The 26,768-nt window shown below is 47.3% G+C and overlaps 1 protein-coding gene and 1 pseudogene across 4 annotated transcripts in view, besides 2 other annotated features; one reads left to right on the top strand and one right to left on the bottom strand.

Moving 5' to 3' along the window:
• Positions 1–26,768, bottom strand: part of ZNF341 (zinc finger protein 341) — a 60,274-nt gene that overhangs the window by 13,909 nt on the left and 19,597 nt on the right. For 3 of the 4 annotated variants that reach the window (NR_104259.2, NM_001282933.2, NM_001282935.2), the window contains 6 exons: positions 24,938–25,189; positions 21,018–21,213; positions 19,555–19,645; positions 16,306–16,499; positions 11,320–11,510; positions 8,069–8,277 (listed from right to left, as the gene is read on the bottom strand). Coding sequence is in view for 3 of the 4 variants with exons in the window: in NM_001282933.2 (NP_001269862.1) it covers positions 8,069–8,277; positions 11,320–11,510; positions 16,306–16,499; positions 19,555–19,645; positions 21,018–21,213; positions 24,938–25,189 (1,133 nt within the window). In the remaining variant the exon portion in view is untranslated. The remainder of the gene's footprint in view (positions 1–8,068; positions 8,278–11,319; positions 11,511–16,305; positions 16,500–19,554; positions 19,646–21,017; positions 21,214–24,937; positions 25,190–26,768) is intronic. The other variant, NM_032819.5, reaches the window with a different exon arrangement.
• Positions 4,780–4,849: an enhancer, noted in NCBI's record as "active region_17745". NCBI's record gives its function as "activates an Ori minimal core promoter by ATAC-STARR-seq in GM12878 lymphoblastoid cells {active_cell/tissue: GM12878}" and the evidence as "EXISTENCE:reporter gene assay evidence [ECO:0000049][PMID:35858748]".
• Positions 16,475–16,976: an enhancer, noted in NCBI's record as "H3K4me1 hESC enhancer chr20:32349191-32349692 (GRCh37/hg19 assembly coordinates)". NCBI's record gives its function as "activates a minimal SCP1, AML or CMV promoter by ChIP-STARR-seq in naive H9 embryonic stem cells {active_cell/tissue: H9 hESC(naive)}" and the evidence as "EXISTENCE:reporter gene assay evidence [ECO:0000049][PMID:30033119]".
• On the top strand, positions 25,794–26,233 carry RPL31P2 (ribosomal protein L31 pseudogene 2; annotated as a pseudogene).

Raw genomic sequence — 26,768 nt, 5'->3', positions numbered from 1 at the left:
TTCAGCCTGGGTGACGGAGAGAGACTCTGTCTCAAAAAAAATAAAAAAAGAAAAGAAAAAGAAAGAAGCCACATACTAAATGCCTCCAGGCAGCAAGAAAGGGAAGGTGGGGTGGGAGCAGAGGTACCAGGAGGGCAGAGACTTAACTAGCTGGTGAGATGGGAAAGGACAGAATCTCACATGCTTCAGGGGCTGGGTTTGGGGGAGACATAGATTTGTGTCAGAGATTGTTTACCAATAGCCAGGAAAATTAAAATCTCCTGCCAGAAACAGCACCTGAATTAAGTCATCCAAGGTAACATCACCAGTAATAGAGCAAATCAACATCACATGCCTCCTGATATGACACACGGAGGAGGACACAGTATTTGTTGTGACATTCCTGACAAAAGTGCATGACCTGAATTTAATCATAGGGTAAAATCAGGCAAACCCAAACTGAGGACATTCTACAGAATAACCTGTCTATACTCTTCAGAAATATCAAGGTCTCGAAGACAAAGACAGAAGGAGGAACTGTTCCAGCTTATAGGACACAAGAGAGACGAGAGAGACATGACAACTGAATTCAACATGTGATTCTGGTTCAAAAAAACCTTTTTTTTCTTTTTCTCTAAAGCATGTTATTGGAACAATTGGAAAATTCTGAGTAAGGCCTGTAATTAGATAATAGAATTGTACTGATATTAACTTCCTGATTTCTTTTTCTTCTTTTTTTTTTTTTTTGAGACAAGAGTCTCGCTCTGTCACCCAGGCTGGAGTGCAGTGGCCCGATCTCGGCTCACTGCAACTTCCGTCTCCCAGGTTCAAGGGATTCTCCTGCCTCAGCCTCCCAAGTAACTGGGAATACAGGTGCCCGCCACCACACCCAGCTAATTTTTATAATTTAGTAGATACGGCATTTCGCCATGTTGGCCAGGCTGGTCTCGAACTCCTGACTTCAGGTGATCCGCCCACCTCAGCCTCCCAAAGTGTTGGGATTACAGGTGTGAGCCACCGCACCTGGCCTGATTTTTTTTTTTTTTTTTTTTTTTTTTTGAGATAGGGTCTCACTCTGTCCTTCAGGCGGGAGTGCAGTGGTGCGATCTCAGCTCACTGCAACCTGTACCTCCCGGGCTAAAGCAATTCTTCTGCCTCAGCCTCCTGAGCAGCTGAGACCACAGGCATATGCTACCATACCCACCTCTTTTTTTTTTTTTTTTTTTTTTTGGTAAAGACGGGGTTTTGCCACGTAGTCCAGGTTGGTCTCAAACTTCTGGGCTCAAGCAATCTGTCTACCTCAGCCTCCCAAAGTGCTGGGATTACAGGCATGAGCCACCGCACAGAGCCCAACTTCCTGATTTTGGTAACTATAGTATATTGCCCTTATGGAAGAGGTTATCCTTGTTTTTAGGAAATACAGGCCAGGTGTGATGGCTTACGCCTGTAATCCCAGCACTTTGGGAAGGCCAGGCAGGAGGATCACTTGAGGCCAGGAGTTCAAGACCAGCCTGGGCAACACAGTAAGACCCTGTCTCTACAAACAAACAAACAAACAAATTTACCTAGGAGTGATGGCGCCTGCCTGTAGTCCTAGCTACTGGGGAGGCTGAGGCAAGGCGACCACACCTGTGAATAGCTGATGCACTCTAGACTGGACAACACAGTGAGACTCTGTCTCTAAAAAAATAAAAATTGGCCAGGTGTGTGGCTCACGCCTATAATCCCAGACCTTTGGGAGAACAAGGCAGGTGGACCGCTTGAGCCCAGGAGTTCCAGACCAGTCTGGTCAACATGGTGAAATTCCATCTTTATAAAAAATAAAAAATTAGCCAGGCCTGGTGGCACACACCTGTGGTCCCAGCTACTCAGGAGGCTGAGCTGGAGGATTGCTTGAGCCCCGGAGGCGAAGGCTGCAGTGAGCTGTGATCATGCTACTGTGCTCTAGCCTGGGTGACAGAGTGAGATCCTGTCTCAAAAAAAAAAAAAGGCCAGGTGCAGTGGCTCATGCCTGTAATCCCAGCACTTTGGGAGGCCAAGGTAGGAGGATCACTTGAGCCCAGGAATTTGAGACAAGCCTGAGCAATATGGCGAAACCCTGTTTCTACAAAAAGTTTAAAAAAAAAAATCAGATGGGCATGGTGGTGCATGCTTGTAGTCCCAGCTACCCAGGAGGCTGAGGTGGGAGAATCACCTGAGACTGGGGAGGTCAAGGGTCAAGGCTGCAGTGAGCCATGATCATGCCACTGCTTTCCAGCCTTGGTGATGGAGTGAGACCCTGTCTCTAAACAAAAAATTAATTAATTAATTATATTAAAATTAAAATACATACATAAGTTAAATTCATGAAACAAAGGAAAGCTTTAAAACACATATATTGAAGGCCAGGCATGGTGGCTTATGCCTGTAATCCTAGTACTTTGGGAGGCTGAGGAGGGTGGATTGCTTGAGCCTTGGAGTTCTAGGCCAGCCTGGGCAATATAGCAAGACCCTGTCTCTACAAAAAATACCAAAATTAGCTGGCAGTGGTGGCACACACCTGTAGTCCCAGCTACTCAGGAGGCTGAGGGGGATGGATTGTTTGAGCCAGGGAAGTCAAGGCTACAGCAAGCCATGATTGTGCCACTGTACTCCAGCCTGGGTGACTGAGCAAGATCCTGTCTCAAAAATCAATCAATCAATAATAAAATTATGACAAAATAAGAGGTTTACAAAGAACACTTTTCGAACATGATTGCCCGTGATATGGGGAAGTGGGTCACAGTGGATGGAGAATTCCTGTTCACTCTATGTCCTGTGATAGTTTTACAATATTGCACTGTATACATATAGTTTTTGAAGTAGATAATTAATCTTTAAAAAAAAAAAAAAAAGGCCGGGCACGGTGGCTCACACCTGTAATCCTAGCACTTTGGGAGGCCGAGGTGGGTAGATCACGAGGTCAGGGATCGAGACCATCCTGGCTAACATGGTGAAACCCCGTCTCTACTAAAAATACAAAAAATTAGCGGGGCATGGTGGCAGGTGCCTTGTAGTCGCAGCTACTAGAAAGGCTGAGGCAGGAGAATCACTTGAACCTGGGAGGCGAAGGTTGTAGTGAGCTGAGATCCTGCCATTGCACTCCAGCCTGGGCAACAGAGCGAGACTCCATCTCAAAAAAAAAAAAAAACAAAACCCTTTCAACTCTGACCTGCAAAATCACTTCTAGGAACTTAGAAAAGAGCAAAGATGTACTTCCGAAGTTGTTCCCTGTATAATTGTTATACTGATGACAAACTGAAAATAACCTCACTAACCAACAATGGGAGATGACAGAAGTAAATCACAGTACACCATGCACAATGGAATACAAAGTAGCTGTTTAAAGAATGAGGCAGGTCTATTGTTGCTGAAATGCAAAGATGTCCATATTACTGATGTTTTTGTTTTTCCCCGAGACAGGGTCTCACGAGTGCAGTGGCATGATCACGGCTCACTGCAGCCTTGAACTCCTGGACTCAAGCAATCCAGCTCAGCCTCCCAAGTAACTGGGACTACAGGCACATGCCACCATGCCTGGCTAATTTTTGTATTTTTTGTACAGGCAAGGTTTCATCATGTTGCTCAGGCTGGTTTTGAACTCCTGGCCTCAAGTGATCTGCCTGCCTCGGCCTCCCACAGTGCTAGGATTACAGGCATAAGCCACCATGCCCAGCTATATTACTGTTTTAAGTGAAAAAGTTTTAAGTGATAAAACCACATGTGCAGTGATCCCATTAAATCAGTCTGTTTGTTGGACATTGCGCTACAGGAAGACAGTGTGATGAATTTTCACCAAATTCAGTGACTCTATTTGGCATCACCTGACTCAAATATAGTCTGTGATATTTATATCTGTATCCATATCTGTAAACATATTTATTACACATATATGCCAAAGGATATCCACCAAGAGGTTAATAGTGCAGTGGCGATCTCTGGGTGACAGTTTTGGTTTTTTGTTTTTGTGTGGGTTTTTACAAAATTGTTTTCTCTGCATTGAACATTGACTTTTGCAATTGGGGGAAAAAATCAATAAATCTTATTTTTCTCTTTTTTCTTTTTTGAGACGGAGTCTCTCTCTCTGTCACCCAGGCTGGATGGAGTGCAGTGGCACAATCTTGGCTCACTGCAACCTCCACCTCCCGAGTTTGAGCGATTCTCCTGCCTCAGGCTCCGGAGTGGCTGGGACTACAGGAGTGTGCCACCACACCCAGCTAATTTTTTTTTTTTTTTTTTTTTTTTTAGTAGAGACAGGGTTTCACTGTGTTGGCCAGGCTGGTCTCAAACTCCTGACCTCAAGTGATCTGCCCTCCTCGGACTCCCAAAGTGCTGGGATTACAAGAGTGAGCCACTGCACCCAGCCAAATCTTATTTTTTAAAAGGAAATATTAAACATACAGTAAAGATATAGTGGCATGACTAAAAGTCATTTGAGAGGTTTGGGGAAAGTACACATAGGCAGGCCAAGGCAATGTGGCTGACAGGGAACAGAAACCAGAATGACAGGGCTTGGACTTCTAAAGATATGATGAAGCCACCACAGCCACTCAAATGTCACTATGAGACAGAATCAACTCTCATGGTGTATAAGTCACTGTTATTTGAGGTTTCTACTGCATGCAGCCAAACTTCTACTTAAATAACACAAATAATAATAATTGTAGCAATAACATTTATTGAGTACCTACTATGTTCCAGGTACCATGTCTAAGAGCCTCAGCCTTGTCTTACTTGATCCTTATAAATAATCCAGTAGGGCAGGCACTACTGTGATCCCCATTTCACAGAGGAGAAAACCGAGGCTCAGAGTGGCTGAATACCTTGCCCAAGGTCATCCACTGGATTTGCAGTCAAGACAGGATTTAAGCACAGGCCAATGGCTCCAGAACCCTTATCACTACCCATGACACCATTCCACCTTCAGGCCATCCAAATGGGGGCCTGGCTCATTGGGCCTTACTTTTGGGACAGGACAACAGCTCCAATGTCTACAAAGGGCCACTGGCACTATGACCCTGCAAGGGGACTGCACAGGGTCATCAGCATCGGGCTCAATCTTCAACCTGCAAACTCCAAGACCAGGGCTATGAGGCTTCCAAGATCTCACACTAGGGTTCGAATCTAAACTCTGCTGATGTTGTTACTCTGGTGGGCAGGTCACTTCTCTTTGAACCTCAGTGTCTTCATCTTCAAAATGGGGAGAATATCACCTACCTCCCAGGGCTGCAGGGATTCATGTCACTAAAGGCAAAGCTTGGCACAGAGCAGGTGCTTCCTTCCCTTTACTTGGCATCTCACTCCAGAGTCACACAGCCACAGGAACTCACAGATAATCCACAAATCAGAAGGGCAAGAGCCAAAGAAAATTTATCAAGTGCAAACGGGAATAAGTCATCACTGCCAGAAATCTCTGCCCCTTGGCTGGCCAAAGCTTTGCCCAGCTTCCCTGCCTCTCTTGCCCCATTTCCCAGAGTCTTGGGGGCAAGTTACCCTACACCCCATTTCTTGAGTTCTAGCTCCTCTGCCAACTTCTCAGAGCTCTTGTGATTTCTACGTGGCCCTTCATGCCTTGGCCCCACTTTTTCCCATAGGCCCCATCTAAACATCTCCCTCCCGCTTCCACTCCACATAACAGTCATTCTATTAATACATCACTTGCTGTTGTATTTTAAACTTGCGGTTCCTCCTGATAGGAACACACTCCATCCATTGTCTACCTGGCAAACTCCTATTCATCCTTCAAAACTCAGTTCAGATGTCACTGCTCTTGGGACAGCTTCTCTAGCCTGCCTCCCCTGTGGTATCTCTATACCTTATAAACATATATGATAGCATTTTATCAAGTGATAGGGTGCATTTGTTTACACACCAGTCACCCTGAGCAGCCCATGCATTTTAAGCTCAAGGTATTTACTTATCTCTGAACCCCAGAAGCTTCACCCAGGAGTTACAGGGGCCTCATTAACAGAAACACCAAATCTCTGCAGGTACAAGTTTGTACAGAGAAGCAAAAACCACTGTAATGGGAAAATATTTGCTAATGAACTGGAAGGAGGCCCCACACAAACACCACTCCTGGCCTTTTGCTACTATCTACCCCCATGGGTTTTGTGAGGCAGGTGCTCCCAGATGATGCAGGCAAATGTACAGCAAAATGACTGCAGATGGGGGATTTCATGACATCATCAAAGTGATGTTGCACAACTGCAAATAACACCATCAACAAAGGAAGACCTGGCAAAACAGACCAGAAAACAACTGAGGCAGAGAAACTCAACAAGGATGATCAGAGGTCAATAGGTCCAAAGAGAATGACGTGAAGATCTTTTTTTTTTTTTTTTTTTTTTTTTAAGACAAGCGTCTCTGTCGCTCAGGCTGAGTGCAGTGGCGCGATGATGGCTCACAGCAGCCTTAACCTCCTGGGCTCAAGCAATCCTACCATCTCAGCCTCCTGAGTAGCTGGGACTACGGGTGCGTGCCAACACACCTGGCTAATTTTTCTATTTTTGTTGAGACAAGGTCTTGCTATGTTGCCCAGACTGGTTTCAAACTCCTGGGCTCAAGCCATCCTCCCACCTCAGCCTCCCCAAATGCTAGGATTATAGGCGTGAGCCACTGTGCCCTGCTTTAACATGAAGATCTAAGGATAAAAAGCATGTTGCAAAACTGAGGAAACCTTTCATCATTTCTGCCAAAGGGACCCTCTTCATGACCACAATGGAAGACTGAAGTGATATAAATGATTATCAGAATAAATTACCCCAATAAAATCCATACCTGATCCATCCCTTGTTCATTCTAAGAATCATCATATAGGCTGGGCACAGTGGCTCACGCCTGTAATCCTAGCATTTTGGGAGGCTAAGGTGGGAGGATCACTTGAGTCCAGGAATTCAAGACCAGCCTGAGCAACATGGCGAAACCCCGTCTCTACAAAAAATACAAAAATTAGCTGGGCGTGGGGCACATGCCTGTTAGTCCCAGCTACTCAGGTGGCTGAGGTGGGAGGATCACCTGAGCCCGGGGAGGCTGCAGTGAGCTGTGATGGTGCCACTGGACTCCAACCTGGGCAACAGAGCAAAACCCCATCTCAAAGAAAAAAATAAAATAAAAATAGGAATCAGCATATAGCTTCAACTTTAACCTAGATCTTATAGATTATAAAACAAATGAATATTATTTTTATGATCTTTGCTTTTAAACATGTTACCGTTCATTTTATTGTATTTTATTTTTTTTGAGACGGAGTGTTGCTCTGTCGCCCAGGCTGGAGTGCAGTGACACGGTCTCAGCTCACTGCAAGCTCTGCCTCCCGGGTTCACGTCATTCTCCTGCCTCAGCCTCCCAAGTAGCTGGGACTACAGGCGCCCACCACCACGCCCGGCTAATTTTTTTTGTATTTTTAGTAGAGACGGGGTTTCACCGTGTTAGCCAGGATGGTCTCCATCTCCTGACCTCATCATCTGCCCGCCTCAGCCTCCCAAAGTGCTGGGATTACAGGTGTGAGCCACCACGCCCAGCCAACTGTTCATTTTAAAATGTATTTTATTTTGTAGAGATGGGGTCTCATTATGTTGCCAGGCTGGTCTCAAACTCCTGGCCTCCTTCTGCCTTGGCCTCCCAAAGTACTGGGGTTACAGATGTGGGCCGCCACACCCTGCCCATTCTTTTTTAATTGTTAAGAACCGGTGTACCGCTTTGACTGTAAGCTAAATTTTGTAGATTATGAGACAAAATAATACTGTCATAATTGTTTAGTTTGGAATAAAATGCTCAAACCTTTTCCCACTATGAACAAGGAAATATAGGTTCCTCTTTTTAAGGATTTTTTTTTGGGAAAAATGTCTGCCAAGACATAAGAATGATATAAGGAGAGCCAGCATCCTTTCTTCCACCAGTGCCAAAGCCCAGAACCCACTCTGCCAGGCTGGACCCCAGCCAGGAGCCTCGGTTTCTCCTTTCAAATATCTCACTGGTCCTAAGCAGTCAGAACCACCAAGGCCACAGGCCCTGGGCTCCCTGCCCACCCACCCGTCCACCCAGGGAGAGGGAAGCAGGAGGCACTTACTTGTAGACGGCATTGTCCTTCTTGGGGCTGTGCTGTGGCAGGAGGCTGTGGGAGTACTGGTGCACGCCCAGGTCGTACAGCGAGGGGAAGTCCTTGCCGCAGAGGTGGCAGCGGTAGCTCAGCTCCTCCTGGTGGCTCTTGATGTGCTCCAGAAATGTGTCGAGCTTTGGGAACGTCTGGGCACAGCTTTTGACCACACACTTGTACACCTTGAGGGAAGACGCTGGGCAGGTGACAGGAGGCAGGAGAGCTTCCTCCACTGCAGCCCCTGGCCTGTGGCATTGGCCTTGGACACTGATGGTAAATGATCTGACCACTGCTCCCTCTGCCCCCCTGCTGCTACTGGATCCCAGGGTTTTTATTCATTCATTCATTCATTTTTGAGACTGAGTCGCACTCTATCGCCCAGGCTGGAGTGCAGTGGTACAATCTCGGCTCACTGCAACCTCCACTTCACAGGTTCAAGCGATTCTCCTGCCTCAGCCTCCCCAGTAGCTGGGATTACAGGTGCACACCACCATGCCCAGCTAATTTTTGTATTTTTAGTAGAGACGGGGTTTCACCACATTGGCCAGGCTGGTCTCGAACTCCTGACCTCAAGTGATCCACCCGCCTTGGGCTCCCAAAGTGATGGGATTACAGGCATGAGCCACTGTGCCCAGCCCCTTGTTTTAACTTGATTAGAGGGTTCCCTCCTCTCAGCCAGTCGTGATGGCCCTATTACCCTTCCCTCAGGCTCTGTGTGGCATAGGTATATTTAGAAAAATTATTCAAGACCTGGAAATACAGTGAAAAGATGACAGTGTATACCCTTTCAATGTCATACTGGAATACCGGCTCTCAAACTGGAGCAGGCCTCAGAATTACAGGTTGCTGAGGGCTGTGCCCCCGCCACCCCTCCCACTGCCCCCCCCCCCACCACCACCCCTTCACCCCCTCCCTGGCCCTGAGAAATCTGACTTAGTGGGTCTGAATATGTGCATCACTAACGAGAAATCCTCAGGGGATGCTGGTGCTGCTGGCCTGGGACTTTGAGAACTGCTGTCTAAGGAGCCTGCCTATAGCCGGCCCACAGTCATCACACTCTCTACAGGATGTGGCTACTTCTGACTACTTTCCATTGACTAGGACTCTACAGTTAAATGTTAATTTGTTAATTTGTAAAAAACTAATCCAACGTAATTGATTTTTGTCAGATAGAGAAGATAACCCCAAAGGTCACAGGTTTTGTTGTCTTGCAGGACATTAACCAGATTTGTATGTAATTTGACAATCTGACTTCAGTATCTCTTTTTTTCATTGACAGTTATTAGGCATAGCTATCCATGGCCTCTGTTGAACAGGCTTTGTCTTCCTTTGGGTTTCCTCACTAATGAGTTAAGTAAAATTCTGACTCACTTTCAGGCCTCATTTGTATGAGAAGTATGTTTTTAACATCTCGAAAATCATACTTTGATAAATAGTACGTAAGTCCTGGTTGCCTACACAATATCATGCACTCCTTCTACCTAAAAAAGTGAACCCTGATTTGCTCAGAATAGCAACATACCTAGTTAAAACACTTGATCCAGGCCGGGCGTGGTGGCTCATGCCTGTAATCCTAACATGCTGGGAGGCCAAGGCAGGCAGATCAATTGAGCCCAGGAGTTCGAGACCAGCCTGGCCAACATGGTGAAACCCCATCTCTACTAAAAGCACAAAAATTAGCCAGGTGTAGTGGTGCATGCACGTAATCCCAGCTACTCAAGAGGCTGAGGCAGGAGAATCCCTTGAACCCAGGAGGTGGCGGTTACAGTGAGCTGAGATGAAGCCACTGAACTCCAGCCTGGTGACAGAGTGAGACCCTGTCTAAAAAAAAAACAAAAACACGGGCTGGGCGCGGTGGCTCACACCTGTAATCCCAACACTCTGGGAGGCCGAGGTGGGTGGATCACTTGAGGTAAGGAATTCGGGACCAGCCTGGCCAACATGGTGAAACACCGTCTCTACTAAAAATACAAAAATTAGCTGGGTGTGGTGGGGGGCACCTGTAATCCCAGCTACTCAGGAGGCTGAGGCAGGAAAATCCCTTGAACGTGGGAGGTGGAGGTTGCAGTAAGCCGAGATCGTGCCATTGCACTCCAGCCTGGGCGACAGAGTGAGACTGCCTCGGGGGGAAAAAAAAAACACTTGATCCTGGTTCCCTTGCATCTAGTGTCAACCATGTGACTCCTTTCTAGCCAACGATATACAGTCAGTAGTCTTTGAGGACTGCATCACTTCCAGAACACAAAGGCAAAAGCTTCCCAGGAGAAATTCCCTCTGCTTTCTGTTTATCTTGACTGGAATACACATTTGATGTATGGAGACATAGCAGCCATCCTGCAACCTTGAGGATGAAGCCCATAAGCTAAGAATGGCAGATCAGACAGCTAGAAGCCTGAGTCTATGGTGACATATTTGACCTGCTCTATATAAGCCCAACGCTGCCTACTTAGGGATTTCTTCTTTGAATTTCTTTAATGTGAGAGAAATAAAACCCTAAGAAGCCAGTTTTCTATCATTTGTAGCATAATAATGCATTGTCAAATGATAGAGCACATGTACTGGGTTTCACCAAAAAGAGATCTACAAAGTGCTTCTAGGAAAAGCTTTCTTGCTCCTATAAAAGATAAAGAAGAGATAACCCCTTTTGGCTCACGGATAACAGTGGTTCTGGATTGGTGCCTAGAAAGAGTGACCACCAGCCAGACACAGTGGCTCATGCCTATAATCCTAGCACTTTGGGAGGCCAAGCGGGTGGATCACTTGAGGTCAGGAGTTCGAGACCAGCCTGGCCAACATGGAGGTGGAGGTTGCAGTGAGCTGAGATCGCACCACTGCACTCCAGCCTGGGCGGAAGAGTAAAACCGTCTCAAAAAAAAAAAAAGAAGTGATCACCATCCCAGGACAGGAGTACAAGGTGAGCCATCAGGAGAGGTCAAGGCCACACCCTGAGATGACAGAGACCAGAGCTGGAAAGACACAGAGTCCTTACGCTGGGTGGAGTCAGCTGTCTCAGGTCTGGAGGAGAGTCAAAGTTTTCTGTGATTTGCCCCAAGGGTAACCTTACTTCATCAATCCCCTGCTCGGAATCTAACCCGGGGGGAATAGAGCCGTGGAAGGTCTGACTCACTGGTTCCTACCCCTTTCTAGGCAGCATTCAAGACCCTAGCACCAGTGAAAGGTTTCGACTGGTGTGGTGTGGGCCCCTGCTGCCACCATCCACCTACCTGCTCATTCTTATGCTGGGTCATGTGAGACTTGAGCTGGAAGTAGGTGCTGAATTTGCTGGGGCAGAATTGGCACAGGTAGGAGCTGTCGATGAGGACCACCTGCTTGGACTCCGGCTTGTCCCCCTCTTCCTCACCAGCTGTGGACAAGGCCTGGGGCTGTGGCGCACCCGGCAGGGGCTGGCCCAACCCTGTGGAGAAAGCCAGGGAAGTCAGGACAAGGAGCCGGCCCATTCAGGAAGGATGCACAGAACCCCTACTCCGTGCTCCTCTGTGTTCACCCGGCACCTGCTACTCGCTTTGGGTCAGACTCTGTGCTTAAGGTGCTGCACTCACACTCAGCTGCTGTGCACTGGTACGGCCATTCCCAGGCTCAAATACAGAAATGCTTCCTTTCTGAGTGAGAAACAGCTGCTGCCTCGAGCCTCCCCTCTCTGGCCTTCCCCTCAGACACTGTAGACCTCTCCATGGTTGTTAAAAATTCTAAACACCATCCTAGTTGTACTCCTAATGCCTCCCCAGTCCCCTCTTCTAATTGTAATCATCTGGCCGGGTGCGATGGCTCACACCTGTAATCCCAGAACCTTGGGAGGTCAAGGCGGACGGATCACTTGAGGTCAGAAGTTCGAGATCAGCCTTCCCAACATGGTGAAAGCCCATCTCTACTAACAATACAAAAATTAGCCAGGCGTGGTGGAGGGTGCCTGTAATCCCAGCTACACAGGAGGCTGAGGCAGGAGAATCACTGGAACCTGGGAGGCGGAGGCTGCAGTGAGCAGAGATTGTGCCCCTGCACTCCAGCCTTGGTGACAGAGTGAGATTCTGTCTCAAAAAATAATAATAATAATTGTAATCATCACCAGGTGCGGTGGCTCACACCTGTAATCCCAGCACTTTGGGAGGCCAAGGCGGGCAGATCACCTGAGTTCAGGAGTTCGAGACCAGCCTGGCCAACATGGTGAAACCCCGTCTCTACCAAAAATACAAAAAAATTATCTGGGCGTGGTGACGCACACCTGTAATCCCAGCTACTTGGGAGGCTGAGGCAGGAGAATTGCTTGAACCCGGAAGGTGGAGGTCGCAGTGAGCCAATATTGCGCCATTGCACTCCAGCCTGGGCAACAAGAGTGAGACTCCATTTCAAACAAACAAACAAAAAAAATTGTAATCATCTGTTTCATCATCCTTCCCTCACTACACTGTTCCTCACTTTCCTTGACATCAGGGGCCTCTGGCCTCATCCCTGCAGGCCCAGTGGCCTGGCACATAGTAGGCCTCTATAAATGTTTGCTAAATGGTTAAACCTTTGGTGCTAGGCACTAAAGGAGTTTCAAAAAAAATGGAAGAAATTATTTATTCTTTAGGGCCGTGTGATGGCTCATTCCTATAATCCCAGCACTTTAGGAGGCCGAGGAAGGAGGATCCCTTGAACCCAGGAGTTCAAGACCAGCCTCAGCAACATAATGAGACGCCATCTCTACAAAAAATAAACAAAATTAGCTGGGCATGGTTGCATGTGTCGGTGGTCCCACCTACCCAGGAAGCTGAGGTGGGAGGATCACTTGAGCCCGGGAGGTTGAGGCTGCAGGGAGCCACCATCATGCCATTGCACTCCAGCCTGGGTGACAGAGCAAGATCTTGTCTCAAAAGAAAATTTTTTTTAAAGAAAAAAAAAAGGAGTTCACAAGAACTCAGAAGGCACACAGTAGGGCTAGTTCCAACAGGAAGCCTGAAGGAAGGTCAGATAAAAGTGGTCACACATTGCTTTCCCAGCAAAACACTCCCTTCATTACCTAGCATGTGCCTGGCATTGCTCACCCTTGGGTCTACATGGGAATGGCTTAGACTCTGGCCTTACACTATCCAATAAAGTGGTCCTGAGCCACACGTGGCTACTGAGAACTTGAAATGTGGCACCAGGCATGATGGCTCACACCTATAATTCCAGTACTTTGGGAGGCTGAGGTGAGAGGATCACTTGAGCTCAGGAGTTTGAGACCAGCCTGGGCAACAAAGCAAGACCCTGTCTCTACAAAAACAATTTTTAACAATTAGCCAGGCGCAGTGGTGCACCCCCATCCCAGCTACTTGGGAGGCTGAGGAGGGAGGATCACTTGAGTCCGGGAGTTCGAGGCTACAATGAGTTATGATTGCACCACTGCACTCCAGTCTGGGGTGACAGAATGAGACCCTAACTAAAAAACAAAACAAAACAAAACAAAAAACAGAAAGAAATGTGTCCAGTCCATATCCAGATGTGCTATAAGTGTATATACCTGCTGGATTTCAAAAATTTATTAAAAAAAGAATATAAAGTATATTCAATCTTTATATTATATGTTAAAATAATAATGTTAATATATCGGGTTAAATACCAGGAGGTGGAGGTTGCATTGAGCCAAGATCGCACCACTGCACTCCAGCCTGGGCGACAGAGCAAGACTCCATCTCAAAAAAAAAAAAAAAAAAAAAAAAAAAAATATATATATATATATATACACATACACACACACACATATATATACATATATATATACACACACATATATATATACACACATACACATATATGGTTAAATAAGATATATAATTAAAATTAATTTGATCTTTTTAAAAATTGCTTTTAATGTAGCTACTAGAAAATTTTATTTCATTTATTTATTTAAGATTATTTTTGCCATTAAAGACAGAACTTTTTGTTTAAATAGAGATGGGGGCCAGGCGCAGTGGCTCACGCCTGTAATCCCAGCACTTTGGGAGGCCGAGGTGAGTGGATCACGAGGTCAGGAGATGGAGACCATCCTGGCTAACACAGTGAAACACCGTTCTCTACTAAAAATACAAAAAAAATTAGCCGGGCATGGTGGCGGGAGCCTGTAGTCCCAGCTACTCGGGAGGCTGAGGCAGGAAAATGGCGTGAACCCAGGAGGCGGAGCTTGCAGTGAGCTGAGATCGCGCCACTGCACTCCAGCCTGGGCAACAGAGTGAGACTCCGTCTCAGAAAAAAAAAAAAAAAAAAAAGAGAGAGATGGGTTTTACCATATTGCCCAGGCTGATCTTGAACTCCTGAGCTCAAAAGATCCTCTCACCTCAGCCTCCCAAAGTGCTGGGATTACAGGCGTGAGCCACCATGCCCGGCTGAACATTTTAAATTACATATGTTGTTCATACTATATTTCTGTTGGGCAGCGCTGCTCTAAACCTAGTAAGTTCTCAGTCCTCATGCAAGAAAGAAACTAAATCAATATCAGGGATAGGAGCATTAGCTCAGGGACAAATGATGAGAATCCCACATGTATAAAGAGCTTTGGAGACCAACTAACCTTGGAGGTCAAATAGCTTTCAACTTCTGATCAACTACAGTGACTGCCTGGAGCAACATATAGAAAACAGATTCTGAGCAGGGATGGTGAGGGAAGGCAAGGGTTGAAAAACTACGTGTTAGCCAGGCATGGTGGCTCACGTCCGTAATCTCAGCACTTTGGGAGGCCAAGGTGGGTGGATTACTTGAGGTCAGGAGTTTGAGACCAGCCTGGCCAACATGGTGAAGCCTTGTCTCTACTAAAAATACGAAAATTAGCCAGGTGTGGTAAAGGGCACCTGTATTCCCAGCTACTCGGGAGGCTAAGGCAGGAGGATCACTTGAGCTTGGAAGGCAGCGGTTGCAGTGAGCTGATAGCACTACTGCGCTCCAGCTTGGGTGGCAGAGTGAGACTCTGTCTCAAAAAAAGAAAAACTACCCGTTGGTACAATGTCTAGTATTTGGGTGATGGGTACACTAGAAGCCCAGCCACCACCATTATGCATCTAATACCCATGTAACAAACAAGCACATGTACCCTCTAAATCTAAAATTTTTTAAATGAATGTAACTTAAACATAGAAAAGGTAATGCAGTGTGCTATGATTTTACAATGGCAACAATGTCACTAGATGACAGAAAATTTCCAGCTCCATTATAATTTTATGGGACCACTGTCACATATGCCATCTGTTACTCATGGAAACATCCTTACATAGCATGTGACTGTATTACTATGGTGGCTGTCAAATAGTTATTTTCTAATTTAATCATTATTTCTACTTTTATCAGTTCACATTTTACTATAAGAAAGGGCTTTCTTTAAATGTGGCACATATATACCATAGAATACTATGCAGCCATAAAGAATAATGAGTTCATGTCCTTTGCAGGGACATGGATGAAGCTGGAAACCATCATTCTCAGCAAGCTAACACAGGAACAGAAAACCAAACACCGTATGTTCTCACTCATAGGTGGGAGTTGAACGATGAGAACACATGGACACAGGGAGGGGAACATCACATACCAGGGCCTGTCGGGGGGCTGGGGACAAGGGGAGAGAGAGCCTTAGGACAAATACCGAATGCATGCAGGGCCTAAAACCTAGATGATGGGGTGATACGTGCAGCAAACCACCATGGCACACGTATACCTATGTAACAAACCTGCACGTTCTGCACATGTATCCCAGAACTTAAAGTAAAAATAAAAAAAAAAAGAAAGGGCTTTCTTTTATCCCCTATTTATTTATTCATTCATTTATTTTAACAGTAGGGGATCATAAATTTTTATTTTATAGTAGTCTCCCCTTACTTGCAGTTTTGCTTTCCATGATTTCAATTACCCAAAGTCAATCATGGTCTGAAAATATTAAATGGAAAATTCCAGAAATAACTCATAAGTTAAAAAAAAAAAAAGATTCTGAGGTGAGATCCAGGCTCAGCAAAAAATGGGTAGGTGATTGAATAGTGATGTCTGCCATGGGTACAGTATTAGAGTAATGCCACACATGTTGTATGTTTGTCATCCTTCCTTTCATCTTATGCCACATTTTATAGATAAAGGTAGATTGAAGCCCAGAGAGGTCATGGGGTTTGCCCAAGGTCACACAGCTAGCAATAAAACCTGTGAAGCGGCAGAAGAGAGGTGTGGGAAGCATGGCGTTCCCTACTTCCACCCACCTGTGCTTTCCTCGTCCTCCTGCCTGCTGGGGTTCAGGGCCATGACCTGTACGGTCACAGAGTTTCGAGACACGGTGCCACCACTGTGTCCTGGAGGCCACACCTTGTGGGTCTGCATGTGTTTCTTAACATTAGACTTCTGGGCAAAGGCACGGCCACATGCAATGCACTGGAAGGGCTTCTCACCGGTGTGGCTGTGGAAGACAAGCTTGTCAGTGCCCTCCTGCAGGAACGGGGACGAGGCCTCAGCCCAGGAGCTCACAGCCACAAGGAAGGCCCAGAAAGAACATCCAGATGCCACTTGCCACATTCTGACACCACGGCGACAAGCCCCTTCGCTGAGGCAGGCAGACCAGAGATGGAAAGACCCTGGGTTCCGGGTCACGTTACTGAGCTGCTCATCAACAAACCCTGGAGCCGCCCTCCTCTGACCATCTCATACTGTGACAGAACATTTCCTAATTGTTCAAGCCCATTTAAATGAGGACTTCTGGCCTGGCACAGTAGTTCACGCCAGTAATCCCAGCACTTTGGGAGGCCAAGGCAGGTGGATCACTTGAGGTCAGGAGTTCGAGACCAGCCTGGCCAACATGGTGAAACTCTGTCTGTACTAAAGATAAAAAATTAACTGGGTGTGGTGGTGTGCATCTATAATCCCAGCTACTCAGGAGGCTGAGGCAGGAGAATTGCTTGAACCCAGGAGGCGGAGGTTGCAGTGAGCCAAGATTGCGCCACTGCACTCCAGCCTGGGTGACAGAGTGAGACTCCATCTCATAAATAAATAAATAAATAGGGACTTCTGTCATTTGAAGCAAAAAACATTCAAGTTGTCACAGCACAGCACTTGTACCACAGTTTAACATTTTTCTTCAAATCAACTCACTTTTTTAAAACTTAAAATAATTTTGTGGCTCACGTATGTAATTCTAGCACTTTGGGAATCTGAGGCGGAAGGATCACTTAAGCCCATCAGTTGGAGGTTACAATGAGCTATGATCATGCCACTGCACTCCAGCCTGGATGACAGAGTGAGACCTTGTCTCTAAAAATAAAATAAATGAAAATAAAATAATCTTTAAAAAAGGCTTATTTTTGTTATTCTATGTGGAAAACCACTTATCATAAAGTAAACAAAAAAAAATGCAAGATCTAGAGCTATACTGTCCCATAAGGTAGACATAAGCCATATGGGGCTATTTAAATTTAAATTCAAGCCCAGCATGGTGGCTCACACCTGTAATCCCAGCACTTTGGAAAGCTGAGACGGAAGAATCGCTTGAGCTCAGGAGTTCAAGACCAGCCTGGGCAACATGATGAAACCCTGTTTCTACAAAAAATACAAAAATTAGGTAGGTGTGGTGGAGCGAGCCTGTGGTCTCAGCTACTTAGGAGGCTGAGGTAGAAGGATTGCTTGAGCCTGGGAGGTTGAGGCTGCAGTGAGCTGAGATTGCACCACTGCATTCCAGCCTGGGCAACAGAGCAAGACCCTGTCTCAAAAAACAAAAAAAAATTAAATTCATTAAAATAAAATAAAATACAAAATTCAGTTTCTCAGACTCACTAGCCACATTCCAAGTGCTCAACAGCCATGTATAGTCAGTAGCTACCATATTGGACAGCGCCAGTTTGAGCATTTCTTTTTTGTTGTTTTTTGAGACAGAGTCTCACCCTGTCACCCAGGCTGGAGTGCACTGGCACGATCTCAGCTCACTGCAACCTCTGCCTCCTGGGTTCAAGGGATTCTCCTGTCTCAGCCTCCAGAGTAGCTGGGACTACAAGCACCCGCCACCATGCCCAACTAATTTTTGTATTTTTAGTAGAGACGGGGTTTCACCATGTTGGCCAGGCTGGTCTTGAACTCCTGACCTCAAGTGATCTACCCACCTCAGCCTCCCAAAGTGCTAGGATTACAGGCGTGAGCCACCATGCCCAACCCAATTTGAGCATTTCTATCGCTACAGAAAGTTCTATTGGACAGCGACAGCACTTGTGTAGACCAGTTCTCAACTGAGGCCAGTTTTGCCCTCCAGGGAACATTTGGCATTTTTGATTGTCACAGCTGTAGCTGCAGTACTACTAGCATCTAATAGTTAGAGGCCAGGGATGCTCCTAAACATTCCACGATGTGCAGGTCAGCTCCCTACAGGAAGGAATGATGTGATCCAAGATCCAAAACGTCAGTAGTGGCAAGGCTGAAAAACCCTGGTCTAGATAGAAGCTGTTGCCAGCCATGGCTGGAATGTGAGGTTTGTTCTCTCTCTCTCCCTCTCTCTCTCTCTCTCCCTCTCTCTCTCTCTCCTTTTGTTATAAGAGACGAGCATGTATACCAAAGGTGCTAAAGACCAATTATACCAAATTGAGGTTTTCTCTATGACTTCCTAAGGACTGAAATTGCAAAGGGAATAATTTTCCCACTACATTTTTCAGAACTTTTCAACCCCATATTCATGAACCACCAAAAATCATCTCATCGGCCAGGCACGGTGGCTCACACCTGTAATTCCAGTACTTTGGGAGGCCGAGGCGGGTGGATCACCTGAGGTTGGGAGTTCAAGACCAGCCTGACCAACATGGAGAAACCCCATCTCTACCAAAAATACAAAATTAGCCGGGCGTGGTGGCGCATGCCTGTAATCCAAGCTACTCGGGAGGCTGAGGCAGTGGAATCACATGAACCCAGGAGTCAGAGGTTGCAGTGAGCCGAGATTGCACCATTGCACTCCAGCCTGGGCAACAAGAGTGAAACTCAGTCTCAAAAAAAATCATCTCATGTACCAGTGCATTTCACTGTGTGAGAAATGAACAAGCCCAGCCTCCCCTTCCACAGATGGAAAAACCAAGGCCCAGAAGGGATCCCTGCATGGTTAGTCTGGAGTGAGCAGAGAGCTCACAGAGTCCTATTTGCAGAGTATGGCAGCCCTGGTAGGCCAGCCTGTTCTGCAGAGGGGAGGCCTAAGACAGCACTAACACATCTGTGAAACCCCTCTGGGTTCAGTGCTTTTCTTCCCCTACACGGCCCATCCCTGACCTTCCCAGTCTCTATGGGCAGGTCCCACAGCTTTCACAGGTCCCTCCCACAGCCTCTGAGATAGAAGAGGGAAAACCACCCGACCTGGACTACAGCCTGAACATGCAAGTGCAGCCTGGGTCACCCCACAGGCTAGGGGCTGAGAAGGGAGTCTCGCTTCCAGCACAGATGGTCCCAGCCACACCTGCCCAGGAGCCACCTGCCTCACCACGCATGTGTACCTTCGGATGTGCTGCTGCAGGTCAAAGTTTTTGGTGAATGACTTGTCACAGTATGAGCACTTGAGTTTCTGAGCCTTTGGCTTCCCTGCAGCTGAAAGACAAGTGGAAGGAGGGGACAATGAGGCTGGGGGTGCAGCTCAGGGCACCAAGGGCAGCCTCTGACTACTGTATCTGAGCCAGACAATCCATACCCCAGGGAAGTCTATGCCCATACACAGGCCAGGGAGGAGACATGGGAGAGCTTCACAGGGCCTGGAGAGGAAAGCCCAGGACATGCTCCAGCTGGGAAAGCAAGATGAATCCTTCAAAGGCTCCCCTCTGCCCTACAATCAAATCCACGCTCTTTGCCATGGCCCACAGCACTCTGTATCCCCTTACTCCTGACAACCTCATCATTCTCTCCATCCAGCTGCAGTGGACTCCTAGCTAACCTTGCTAACCTTAAAAGACTTCAAGCATGTTCCTGCCTCCGGGCCTTTGCACCTGCTGTTCCCCCTTGCCTGGAATGCTTGTCCCACAGATACCCACAAGGCTGCTTCCTTCTCCTCCCACATGAATAGGTAGAATCATTTTCCAGCCTCTCCCTAGTTATTCTCAATCATAAGACCCATTAACCTCCTTCCTGGAGCAACCCAGAAATATTTATTTATTTATTCCCTGTCTGTCTCTTCCATTAAACTGAAGGCAGAAGGAATCATAGACCAAGAGACTAGATTCCAGTGCCTGACATGGGGCCTGGCACACAGATGCTCAATACATCATTGTGGAAGGAAGGAAGGGGAGGAGTAGTTGACTGGAAAGCCACTGAAAAATTCTCAATTTCTATCCTCTCCATCTGCTGCCTGCTCTGACACCACCTCCCACCCCATACTTAGCATCTGCATTAGGATGGCAGATACTACTGCTTGCCTAATATCCACTCTCTCCTTCTTCACTCCTCACAAATCCCATAATGGGAATATCAATGTCCCTAGCCAAAATAGACACTTCCCAGCTTCTCTTGCAGCTAGGTATGGCCATGTGACTAAGTTTTCATCAATGAGATATGAGCAAAAATATCAAACAGAACTTCTAGAAGCTGGGAGAAGCCCCTTTTATCCTTCTCTTTCCCTTCTTCTTACTGCCTGGAATATTAAAGTGATGACTGGAGCTCCAGCAGCCATCTTAGACAATGAGGCACCAGGATAACTGATACCATGTTCTGGAGGTGGTGGAAACAGAAAGACAGAAGAAACGAGGGTGCCTGGTGCCCATGCAGTCACATGATCCCCAGATTGTCTGGCTTCTGGCCTTGACTTACACAGGAGAGAAACAAAATTCTATCATTTTGAAGTCATTGATATTTTGAATTTTCTATTACATGCAACCAAACTTGAACAACCATAAAAGGGAAGACCAGAACCAAGTAGCTTGTGGATTGGCCAATGTTGAGGAAAGATGCCCATGGCAGGCTGGGGGCCCACCTTCCGGGAGTCCCCTGGCACCTTTAGCTCGTCGGGTCTTCAGCGTTGCTGGAGAGTCAAAGGTGGCCACCGTGCCCCCGGTGGCGCTGGTCATGGGGGCGGCGGGGTTTGGTCCTTTGGGTTTGAATCCCTGTTTGCCAGGGCTGTACACTGTGGGGGTGGGATATACTGGAGGCTCCACACACTGGTTTGGCACCTAGGAGGACAACACAGTCAGGGAAAAAGCCCTGCCAGGGAAGGGGAAGAGCTCCCAGCCAGGGGCACTCTCCCTGCCTCCCTGATTGACCTCAGCCGCTCTCCCCTACATCACCATCACAGCCCCTCCACCTGGCCCGGTCACCCAAGCCACTCCCAAGCTCCCTTAGAACTTCATGAAGCCAGGAGGCCAGAACAGCTATGGAGCCAGGCTGCCTGGATTCAAATCTTGACTCTTCCACTTAGCACCGAAGTGACCTTAGGCATCTTTTTAATTTCTCTGTCTCAGTTTCCACATCTGTAAAATGGGACTCATCATAGTACCCCTCTCATGCGGTTACTGTGAAGATTAAATGAAGCAACATATAAAGGGCTTAGAACAGTGACTGGCATAGAGTGAGCATGCAATACACATTAGCTGTTATTATTTGCCCTGTCTATTCTTATCAGTGGTACTTTGCTAGCATTAAGAGAACTAGGTGGCTGAGCCTGGTGGCTCACACCTGTAATCCCAGCACTTTGGGAGACCAAGGTGGGCAGATCACCTAAGGTCAGGAGTTTGAGACCAGCCTGGCCAACATGGTGAAACCCCATCTCTACTAAAAATACAAAAATTAAGTCAGGCATGGTGGTGTGTGCCTGTAATCCCAGCTACTCAGGAGGCTAAGGCAGGAGAATCACTTGAGCCTGGGAGGCGGAGGTTGCAGTGGGCCGAGATCGCGCCACTGCACTCCAGCCTGGGCGATGGAGTGAGACTCTGTCTCAAAAAAAAAAAAAAAAGAGAGAGAGAGAACCAGGAAGTCAGAGGGGTCTGTGCTCCCCCAGCTGCTCCACTTCCTGACTGACACTACCCAATGCCAGAGTAGCAGGCTTCTCTTCACTGAGAACTGAAGCCACGAGAAATTACCAAATGAATTCTGAGGCATTCAGATTTTTCTTGCTCTATTGTCCAGGCTGGAATGCAATGATGTGATCTCGGCTCACTGCAGCCTTGACCTCCCAGGCTCAAGCAACCCTCCCGCCTCACCCCACCAAATAGCTGGGATAACAGGCACACACCACCATGCCCAGATAATTTTTGTGTAATTTGTAGAGACAAGATTTCACCATGTTGCCCAAGCTGGACTCAAACTCCTGAGCTTAAGTGATCCACCCACCTCGGGCTCCCAAAGTGCAGGGATTACAGGCGTGAGCCCCTGTGCCTGGCCTATTCATCATCCATTGGTCTTCCTGAGGTGTCCTATCCAAAATCTCTGGCCAGGCACGATGGCTCATGCCTGTAATTCCAGCACTTTGGCAGGCCGAGGAAGGAGGATCACTTGAGCACAAGAGTTTGAGACTAGCCTGGGCAACATAGGGAGATCTCATCTCCACAAAACATTAAAAAAATTAGATGGGCATGGTGGTGCATGCCTGTAGTCCCAGTTACTCAGGAGGCTGAGGTGGGAGAATCATCTGAGCCTGGGAGATCGAGACTGTGGTGAGCCGTGATCATGCCATTGCACTCCAGCCTGGGTGACAGAGCAAGACTCAGTCTCAAAAAAAAAAAAAAAAAAAGAATTCAACTCAGCAAAAAGCCCAAAGTTGAAAAAATATTTCAGACAAATATAAATAAATAGAAAGCTACAGTTGGAGTAATAAAATCAGACAAAGCTGAAAAAAAGGTACAAAAAAAATTATAAAATCTGGCCGGGTATGGTGGCTCATGCCTGTAATCCCAGCACTCTGGGAGGCTGAGGTGAGAGGATCACTTGAGGCCAGGAGATGGAGACCAACCTGGGCTAAAGTGAGACCCCTATCTCTAATTTAGAAAAGAAAAAACATCCCTCTGCAGAAATACCTTGCCTGGTTTCTATTTTCCTGACCAAACCCTGACCAATACAGCACTCAATAAATACTTGTTGGGACGGGTGTGGTGGCTCATGCCTGTAATCCCAGCACTTTGGGAGGCCAAGGCAGGCAGATCACCTGAGGCCAGGAGTTCGAGACCAGCCTGGCCATCATGGTGAAACCCGTTTCTACTAAAAATACAAAAAAAATTAGTTGGGCGTGGTAGCTCATACCTGTAATACCAGCTACTTGGGAGGCTGAGGCACGAGAATCGCTTGAACCTGAGAGGTGGAGGTTGCAGTGAGCCGAGATCACACCACTGCACTCCAACCTGGGCGATAGAGTGAGACTCTGTCTCAAATAAATAAATAAATACTTGTCACGTGAATAAATTCAGCCATCACTCAAGGCATTACTGAGTAATTAATGTGACTGCCACTGGCATAGGCTCTTATTATCCTCAACAGCTTTTCAGGAGAGTTCCCATTTTAGAGGAGCGCAGACTGAGGTCAGACAGTCCAATGTAAGATATCTACTCTAGGAGTGCTCTGCTAGGTGCTAAGGATGCAAAGTCTAGTAAGACTCAGACCCTGCCCTCAAATACCCTCATCTACATGGAAAATCAACAGCAGCAGCTCCTTCTGTGCTGGTCCTCTCTGGGCTGGTCCCCTCTGACTACCACAAGCCACCAGCATTATCTCAGCATCCCACTAACTTAACTTTTTCTCAATGCAATAAATTCCCTAGAGAAGCTTGTTCTATTCTCCCAGGGTAGGGCAAATCCCCTCGCAGCCCCTCAGAACATCACGTGAATGCCTCGTGGTGGGATCTTCCCACTGGTCTGGGCTCTCTTTACATAAAGAGACTACCTGACAGGGGATGTCTGTGGCTGGATTCTATGGTGAGTCTGAGTTAGTGTGATTTCTAGTGCAGGTGGGTTGTTTCTGTCATAACCATACCCTCTAGCACTGGTGTCTTGGAAGGTTCTATGAACTCAGTGCATTTCAAGTAGATGGCCTATAACTTAGAGCTCATTGGCAGGGAATTAGTATGGTACATTGATTGTATTATGGCACCAATTCTTTGCCCCTCCCTGTACCCAAGCCTTTGCAGTGTGACTCTGCAGTTCCTCCCATCAAGAGGTGGCATCTATTTCCCTACCTGCGCTATCTAAGCTGGACTTGTGATCTGCTTTGGCCAATAGAAGTGATTCTGTGTTACTTACAAGCCTAAACCTCAAAAGGCCTTGGGCATTTCTGTCTGCATTTTTGCACCTCCACCATGGCCATGAGAACCTAGTGGAGGATGAGAGTCACGCAGAACAGAGCTGAGTCACCCCACTTGTCCCAGCCCAGGCCATCCTAGAGCAGCTGACAGCCAGCCAACGTTCAGACATATGAGTGAGCCCAGCCAAGATCCGCAGTTGTCTAGCTGACCACTGTAAACACGTGAATAATAAACACTTTTGGTATATGCCACTGATGCCTGATGGATATTTCTTACCCAGCAATAGCTAACTGATACACCTAGCTTATTAAAAACTGTAAGAGACACTCAGGCAGATAATTTTTTTGAATCTTTTTTCTTTTTTTTGCCTGAAAAGGTAGGCATTCTCTGACTGTTCTGAGCATTACCTGCAGGCAGCTTATATTTCTGCTACAACCTGTACTCCATTCCACCTTCTCATGGCTTGCATCTTACATCTGTGGGTGTGATGCTTTGATTAAAGTCCTTCTCCCCTGTGATGTGGTACACCCCATGAAGGCCAGGACCGGGTCTGGTTTTCATGGTATCCCCAGCACAGTGTCTGGCACACAGCTGGTGCTCAGGATGGGTCCGGGTTGGCCATGATGTCCATGACCAGTGTCCTCTTCCACCCTGCCCCCTCTGCTCACCTCTAGGGGTGGGTAGGGCTGCATCCCCAGTGCCTGGATCTCCACCGTTCCACTCCCAGCCAGGGGCGCAGCAGCACTGTACACCTCCACCACACCGTTCCCACCAGGGTTGGGACGCCCAGGGGGGCCCAGGCTCTGGGGTGGAGGTGGTGGAGGCTGAGGTGGTGGCGGTGGGGGCAGTGGTGGAGGAGGTGGAGGAGGAGGTGGAGGCTGGGTGAGGTAGCTGGGCACGGAATGCATGTTCAGGCTGCTCTGAAATCAGAAAAGAAAAAGTGTTATAGCCTCTTGATACCAGTTGTCTTATTTATCAGGAAGGAAGGACATTTGCTTTAGCCAGCCAGGTGGAAAAACAGCTACTTACCAGACAGCTCAGGAGAGGGGCTAAGAGAGGTTGGGGAAACAAAGTCATGGGAGAATTCGAAGGAAGCCTCAGCTTGGTGCTGCTATCCCTTTTCCCTATGAAAGTAGGCAAAAATGGCCGGGCGCAGTGGCTCACGCCTGTAATCCCAACACTTTGGGAGCTGAGGCGGGCGGATCACGAGGTCAGGAGATCGAGACAACCTTGGCTAATGGTGAAACCCTGTCTCTACTAAAAATACAAAAAATTAGCCGGGCGTGGTGGCGGGCGCCTGTAGTCCCAGCTATCGGGAGGCTGAGGCAGGAGAATGGTGTGAACCTGGGAGACGGAGCTGGCAGTGAGTGGAGATTGCACCACCACACTTTAGCCTGGGTGACAGAGCAAGACTCCATCTCAAAAAAAAAAAAAAAAAAGAAAAGAAAATAGGCAAAAATGACCTCATTCATGCAGAAAAGAGTTAATATAGCAGCCTAATGTTGCTATCTTAAGAAGGGCTTCCCTTTCCATCTTGGACCCAGCAGAATGGCTCCCAGAAAGAAGGGTGGCGAGAAGAAAAAGGGTCATTCGGCCATCAATGAGGTGGTGACCTGAGAATACACCATCAACATTCACAAGTGCATCCATGGAGTGGCTTCAAGAAGCGTGCTCCTCAGGCACTCAAAGAGATTCGGAAACTTGCCATGAAGGAGATGGGAACTCCAGATGTGTGCATTGATACCAGCCTCAACAAAGCTGTCTGAGACAAAGGAATAAAGAATGTCCCATACTGCATCCGTGTGCGGTTGTCCAGAAAATGTTATGAGGATGAAGATCCACCAAATAAGCTCTATACTTTGGTTACCTATGTACCTGTTACCACTTTCAAAAATCTACAGACAGTCAATGTGGATGAGAACTAATCGCTGATCATCAAATACCTCAAATAAAGTTATAAAATTAAAAAAAAAGGGGGGGGGGCTTGCTTGCAGCACTAGCTCGTGACTGGGATCTGAGAATCTGGTTTGTGGGACATCTCCTTTGTTGATAAGGCTTATTTTGCCCACCTGGGGCACTGTTCTATTGTACCAGATTATGTAGACTGCTTGGACAAAATATGTGATTCATGGTGAACACTTCCTTCTCTTCTGGGAGTCTGGAATTTTGGTCATGGTGGCTGGTCACCTACATGACCAATCCCTAACAGAAACCCTGGCCTTGGGCTTGGTGCAGCGGCTAACACCTGTAATCTCAACACTTTGGGAGGCTGAGGCGGGTGGAGTCCAGGAGTTTGAGACCAGCCTGGGCAACATGGCAAAACCCCATCTCTACTAAAAATACAAAAACATTAGCCAGGCATAGTGGTGCACACCTGTAGTCCCAGCTACTTGGGAGGCTGAGGTGGGAGAATCACCTGAGCCCAGGGAGGTGGAGGTTGCAGTGAGCCGAAATTGCACCACTGCACTCCAGCCAGGGCAGCTGAAGTGAGACCCTGTC

This window comes from Homo sapiens, chromosome 20 (assembly GCF_000001405.40).
Source record: "Homo sapiens chromosome 20, GRCh38.p14 Primary Assembly".
Taxonomy (NCBI): Eukaryota; Metazoa; Chordata; class Mammalia; order Primates; family Hominidae; genus Homo; species Homo sapiens.
The sequence above is the reverse complement of the archived record's forward strand: the minus strand, read 5'-3'. Positions and strand labels throughout refer to the sequence as shown.